This window comes from Homo sapiens, chromosome 1, assembly GCF_000001405.40.
Source record: "Homo sapiens chromosome 1, GRCh38.p14 Primary Assembly".
NCBI lineage: Eukaryota > Metazoa > Chordata > Mammalia > Primates > Hominidae > Homo > Homo sapiens.
Window position 1 is genome coordinate 226,448,964 of NC_000001.11, and position 7,321 is coordinate 226,456,284.

The window sequence follows — 7,321 nt, forward strand, 5'->3', positions numbered from 1 at the left end:
ACTGTAACAGAGTGACAACAAGCTGGGTGGACTCATTCTAAAAACCGTTTCCGCTTTTTCTTTTCTTTTTTCTTTTTTTTTGGGGGGGGACAGGGTCTTGCTCTGTCGCCCAGGCTGGAGTGCAGTGATCTCTGCTCACTGCAGCCTCAACCTCCTGGGCTCAAGCGATCCTCTCACCTCAGCCTCCCAAGTAGCTGGGACTATAAGCGTGCGCCACCACACCCAGCTAATTTTTGTGTTTTTTGTAGAGACAAGGTTTCACCATGTTGCCTAGGCTGGTTTCAAACTCCTGGGCTCAAGCAATTCCCCTGCCTTGTTTCTCAAAATGTTGGCATGAGCCACAGCACTGGGCCTGTTTCCTTTTTTTAATCTATACAAACCTGGTTGGCCAAGGTGACAATTAATAAATTAACAGGTAAGAAGACTGTGCGAGAGACATTTGGACATTTTCTAGGGACATGTTGCAAAGTGGGGAGGTGGTGTGGAAGCTGGTGTAAACTACAGTCCTTGGAACTCTGTCCTATGGCCTGGACCCATTCGAATTAGCTTAGCTGCCTTGTGAGGGCAACTGTGGGTATAGGAAAATGTGAGCTACTGTATACCACCTTTGCTTAGTAAGTAAATGAGCATTTATTAATCATTGCCTGTGTGAACATGAGAACATATGGAAATAGCATGAATATACAAACATCATATTATCAGAACTTCTGGGTTTGACAGGAAAACCACACTAATTCCTTTAGAAATAGAATTCCTATTTGCTTATTTAACAGGTCTGTTGTTACTTTAGGCACAGCTAGATTCAGTTGCTCCGATAAGGTTCTCAAGGTGTCCTCTCCCTCTTTCCATCTGGTCTATCCCACCCCTGCTTGTATGCAGGTGCTATGGCTGCCACCTGGACTCACATTCTCCTGGCTTGACAACTCCAGTTGAAAAAAAACAAGTCTTAGTCTTACCCAATGTTTATAAATTAATTCCAGAGAAGCCTATGATTGGCTATAATTAGGTCACATGTCTTTTTCTAAACCAATCACTATAGCAGGAGCATGAGGTACAACGATTGGCCCATTCTGGGTCAGCCCTACCCAGACCATATAGGATTGTGCTAGAGGACACGTTCTGCCGTTATCATCCAGATCATTTGAGTCCCTGTGCAGTTGCCTGCGGAAGATCTCATGCTAGTGATGTAGGAAGCCAGACATGGTCCCTGTACTCCACATGTTTACAAGCTCTGTCTTTGGCTGGGGGACTATGCGATTAGGGTCTGGTTTATTCCCCACTCGTGAAGGGGCTTGTTGAGAAGGGGGAGTTTGAAAAGCACTGAGAGACATGGCATTGCTCTTAGAGGTTTGGTTGTGTTCTAAGGGACATTAAAGTATGTTTGTGTAGAGGAAAAATAAGAACTATGACACAACGTTGAGAAATAAAATCCTAAGCCCCTCAACTGACTGAAGGGACCTCCTCTTGGCCAAGGAACCCCAGAGTAACCTTGAAAACTGAGTTCTCAGCCATGATGGAATGGGGGACTCAACACCTTGTTATACTCCCTCCCTTGTTAATCACCATTAGGCTTTCTTCCGAGGGCTGAACAGAAACCAGCCCTTTCAAAAGATTCCACACTGATATCAACCAACCACCTGATGCTGCCCCTCTTTTTTTGCCTGATAAGAGACCACCAACCACAGAGTGGTCTTGGCCAGTCTACGGAGAATGCTCAGTGAGGGTCTTCATGTCCTCTGCTTCACCTTTTGATGTCAGAGGGTAGAAAACTCCACCCCCAGATCATTCTAACACAGCCATTTTTTTGTACATGGGTCCTACGAAAGGGTATGAAGCTCAGTTGTGCATGAGCACGTTTTTCCTTCCATAAATATTCATGACTCCTCCTCTAGCTTACTGAATATGTATAATCAGCCACCCTGCTCAGCATAAATTCCTGACCCCTCTGCCCCTCCCTTGGAGTATCTGTTTCTGGCTTCTGACTGGAGGCTATGCTTCCCAATCTGTCAGAATGACTACCCTGCAGGCTACAGCCCTTTATGAGAAATAAGGCTCTCCTTTCTAATTGTATGAACCTCAACATTCTTCAGTTGACAATACCAACCCATGAGAGCTGTCTGCATCCTAAGGAAGGGTATCTCAGCTACATCAATATATTAGGGTGGCCTAATTTGCATGTCTGCAAAACCCACCACCAGATGTGTGGGGGTGACAGAGGCAGCAAGCACAATGATCAAATCTAGGATCATTGTAATTAACTTTCACATACAACCCATGATAGCAAGGGTGCGAACAGCAGGACCCCTACAGACACCAATCTCAGAGAGGGAATCCCACCATAGCGTATAAGAATGTGCAACTCTCATAGCTTGGTGGCACTTGCTCTCACTGCAAGATGCATGCCATCCTCTGCTAAATTAGCTAAACTAACACCTGAAGGTTCTGGACATTCTCTGAAGAAAGTCTTCATACCGGGTCCAATGCACAGGTTAGCCTACACAGCTGTGGGGTAGGGAGAACAGCTGTGTTACAAGTGACCAAAAGGAACCCTTGCAGACACCCCCCTGGAAGTTAAGGTTCTGAGTGACCTTTCACTTTTATTCCTCAAAGGAATGTGTGTGCATTTTAAATAAAGAGTTCATTTAGATAATTTTATACTGGAAATCTTTATGTTGAACAATCCTATAACAAATATAAGTACAGTCATTTGAAAAGCCTGCCTCTTGCTGGGCTCCACTAATTACTATATCAAAGCCAGTGATTGTAGCCAGGGCTCCTGAAGGTTCACCTGTATCAGGCCCCTCTGATTTGACAACCCCCAGTTGAGGCCCCATGCTACATCCACTTGGCCCAGTGAGGGAGTGAAGAGGAGGATTCTTGAACTTCATCAGCACTCCCTGGGGAGAACAAAGGCTGTTAGGTAGGGGCTGGCTAGTTCACCCTCAGCACTACCCTAGAGTCCACACGTTCCCTGCACAGGACGCCCAGCAATGCCAAGTTCAAGGTCATTTATTTCCCTCAGTGTTCCTGGGGGCTGAGGGCAAAGCTTGACTTCCCTACCTGCTTCCACACACCTGGATAATGAAGGTCTGTACCTCCTACAGTTTTTTTGTTTGTTTGTTTTTATTGTAGAGACAGGGTCTTGCTGTGTCACACAGGCTGGAGTGTAGTAGCGTGATCATAACTCACCGCAGCCTCCAACTCTCAGGCTCAAGCAGTCCTCCTGCCTCAGCCTCTCAAGCAGCTGGGACTATAGGAATGCTACAGTGCCTGACTAATTTAAAAAACATTTTGTAGAGATGAGGTCTTGTTACGTTGGCCAGGCTGTTCTTGAACTCTTGGCCTCAATCCTCCCACCTTGTCCTCCCAAAGTGCTGGGATTACCGGCATGAACCATGGAACACCAGCCTCACAGTTTTTACTACTCTTCTCAGATATTGCTCAGAAGAGATGGAGGCATTTAGGCTATCTGTCCCATTTGTCTTTCTCTCCAGGCCATAGAGCAGGGTAAAGGGGCCATCATTTCAGATCTGAGGGCACTGAGGCACTGAAGGGGAGGAGCTGGGCCATGGTCACGGTCAGGTGGTGGTGATGGCTGAACCGAATCGCTGAGCCATCTAAACCTCATCACCCACCACCCAACAAAGAGAGAGGGAGAACTCCCATTTCCAGTGGGCAGTCTTTTACAGAAAGCTCTTTGTTGCCGAAGGAAGTTTCTGAATAGCAGAAAATAGCCTTCTGGACTTGGTCAAGACCTGCTCTCAGGACAGTGGCCCAGGGTGGGCTGACTTGGGGGAGTCTCCCTGGGTGCTTTATCAGCACTTCCCTGCACTGTACCCTATTAGCTCACACTCTCTTACCGAGAGCAAATTACAGACAGCATACTGTGGAAGGAAAGAGGTTTATAGATTCTAGCACTGTAGAACCCCTTTTCTGTTTTTAATAGTATTAGGACTTAGAAAAGAGGATAGCACACTTCAGGGCTTGTTGGATTGGCTATTTTTACTTCTCCTTTGTTAGATTTTAAGCTTGCAGAACATTTTACCTTCGTAATAGTCATAATAATCCTAATGCCATCAGTTTGCCTGTGCGGGGTGTCTTTTCTTTTAGAGCAGCCTCACTTTCATCGTCTCATTTGAACAATCCTGGTAATCCTCTCTGAAGCCTCTCTAGGGGATCTACAGCCAGCACTTCTGGGGCTCTTTGAGGCCCAGGAGGCAGGGCCTGGGCCAGGGTGGGGGATATGTAATTTGTAATTTGACAAGAGCAGATTCTTCCCTAGAGTTCTCTGCTCCAGCCCAGCACAGGGCCTCTGGCTGAGTGTTGGCAGCTTAACAAGCCAAGACATATCTTTCTTCTTATGTCCTTAAATCCTTCAGGGTAAGGGTTGTGAGGCTCCTGCCTCATGGTTTGTTAGATGATGTATCTATTCTGGGGGCTGAGTGTCTGTTACCATGTGAGGCTAGCTGTGCAGGGCCCACCAGGACAATGTCGCTAAGACCTTGGGCTGCAGGGGAAGAGAGGGTGAGGGGCCGGGGCAGGACTGCCCACCTGTCCACCCCTGCATACTCACTGCTGACGGTGGGCACAGGAGCACCCGACTGGAATACTGATGAGACAGGCCTGGGCCAGGCCCTGACTCTGGGCCCTGTCAGGCTCCTAAGGGAAAGCCAAATGAGCAAGTTCAAGTAGAAGGTGTTGAAGAAATCGATGGAGAAAACAAAGAATTCTTTAAGGGCATTTTTGAAAGCAGGTAGGGTTTTTGTTTTTTTGTTTTTTTTCTCATTTTTGAAAGTAGGTGGCTAGGGAGGCAAGTGCACTGGGAGACAGTGACAGGTTCAGATGAGGCTGTACTTGCTGGGTGATGGCCAGGATTCATGCACAGGGATCACAAAAGTGGCTGTCAGGCACATGGGGACAAAAGCAGGCTTTTCCTGGCCCAGGAGGAGGGGCAGGATTTGAGGGTGGGTGGGGAAGAGATAGAAGTGACTGTCTCAAAGCCTGTGAAGAAATATGCTAGTCATATGCAAATCAGGTACAAATGAACTTGAGACCTCATTTCACACACATCTTTGACCCTGGGGAAAAGTCTTAAATGAGATCAAGATTTTCTCTGGAGCAGAGGCTGGCAGGGATTAAGGGGTGGTGGGTACCTCTGTGGTCTGCCCAAGTGGCTCCTGTCACTGGTCAGCTACAACTGGGCCATCGGCTGGGCTGGGATGTTTTCTCGGAAAATTTCATTGTTGGGTTAATAAAGGCCCATTCGTGTTCTGTTCTGGTTCCCCATTTGGCAGAGCAGCCGTGGCAGGGGAGGCCCCAGGCCAAATGGACAATAAGGCTCGTGTGTGTGTGTGTGTGTGCTGCACACGTGTGTGTGGCTATTTATGGTTACAGCCTGGTCTATACAGCTCTGTGCCCTGCTTGTTAGGCTGTGCTGAATGGTGCAAAAAACTCTTACTTAGGAGTCCAAATAGGTGGGCTGAAGCCGCAGTCCCATCACTTCTGAGCCAGACTGGGGCTGGCCTTTCTATCATGAGCCTGGCCTTTCTATCATGAGCCTGAGTGTTTCAGGTAGAAGTAGACATAGTGAGTCATTCCTTCCCTTGACAGCATCTTTAAGGGATAAAGACTAAAACTCCCTCCCTTTCCTCTCCAACCCTTTTCCCCAGACGTTAGAGAGATTTGGATAATGCATAAGAATACTTGAAGTTCTTGGAGAAGCTGTTATTACATTTCCTTTGTCAACTTCCATGGCTGCAAAGCACTTTAAGATAATAATAAAGACAGCAATAACAACTTGTACTTATAGAGGGCTTCTGCTTTCAGGGAACCTCTACCCTATTATTGCATTTTAAACAGTCACAGGATTCCACTAGATGACCAAGTTTTGGGATTTTTTTAAACCCACAGTTGATCTATTCAGCAATTGAAGAACATTTGGGTTGTTTCCAATTTTTTCTTTCTTTTATTATTATTTTAATTGATACATAATAATTGTACATATTGATGAGGTACAGTGTGATATTTTGATACATGTACACAATGTGTAATGATCAAATCAGGGTAATTAGCATATACATCATCTCAAGCCTTTATCATTTCTTTGTGCTGGGAACAATGGCAAGTTGTTTTGGGGAAGGGCCAGCAGTTCCGGAGGTTTACTGGGTCCCAGGCACTGTGCTGGCGCTTCACACGTGTTCTTATTTAATTTCCACAGCCTCAGACCTGGTTACCAGGATACCTGGACACCTCTCACCTGGTGTCAGGAGCCCAATTTGTCAGAGGAAGAAAATGAGATTCAGAGAGATTAAATGTTCTTGCCTCACCTCAAGTCACTTTTTTGCAAAGTGGCAGATATAATTAATCAATACAAATAAAAGCCACTCACCCAAGGCAACCTTGTAGAATCCTCGACCCCCACAGTTCTGACTTGGAGCTGGGTCGCATCTGAAGATGCACTTACAGAAACAGAGTAAATAATTGAAGAGTAATTTTCAGCCTTGAATCTTCTGAAGAACGTTTAGGAGGATCCAATTTCTAATTCCCAGCTGTATCTCTAGTCACTCCCGTTTCACCCTCTAATTCCAGTCCCCTGATACTCTCTGGAACTCCACGTTCACCCCAAAACTGCTACCCTCCTCTGGCCCAGCCACCTTTTACTCCCCGTTTTTTCTTTTCTCTTTTGTATTCTTCTTTTTAAAATATTTATTTATTTATTTAATTTTTTTAGACAGAGTCTCATTCTGTTGCCCAGGCTGGAGTTTAGTGGTGCAATCTTGGCTCACTGAAACCTCTGCTTCCGGGTTCAAGCGATTCTCCTGCCTCAGTCTCCCAAGTAGCTGGGACTACAGGCACATGCCACCATGCCCGACCAATTTTTGTATTTTTAGTAGACACAGGGTTTCACCATGTTGACCAGGCTGGTCTTCAACTCCTGACTTCAGGTGATCCACCTGCCTTGGCCTCCCAAAGTGCTGGGATTACATGTGTGAACCACTGCACCCGGCCAGCTGCGGTGTCTTCATGGAGGTGTTGAACATACCAACTGTGCGCCTGCTATGGATAGTGTAAGAGGGCCACACGTATCCTCTGCTGACCTGTTGCTGAGACACATCCCTCATTCCTCACCTCCAACAGCTGCCCCTCCAGGCAGGGCCGTGGATCTCCCCCTACTACACATACGCGCGTGCACGCACACACGGCCTCCACCCCAAGAGCCAAGCCTACCTTTGGAGGTCACCTTTTCCTTCTCTTTCTGCAGATTGACTTAGCCTCTCTCTCGCCCTCTGTCCCCATCTCCCAGGGCTTGTCTAGACTTTCT

The 7,321-nt window shown here is 46.7% G+C and overlaps 1 annotated feature.

Moving 5' to 3' along the window:
* Positions 6,094-6,301: a silencer, noted in NCBI's record as "fragment chr1:226642758-226642965 (GRCh37/hg19 assembly coordinates)". NCBI's record gives its function as "represses an EF-1alpha promoter that drives an FKBP-Casp9 reporter gene in an ReSE screen in K562 erythroleukemia cells {active_cell/tissue: K562}" and the evidence as "EXISTENCE:reporter gene assay evidence [ECO:0000049][PMID:32094911]".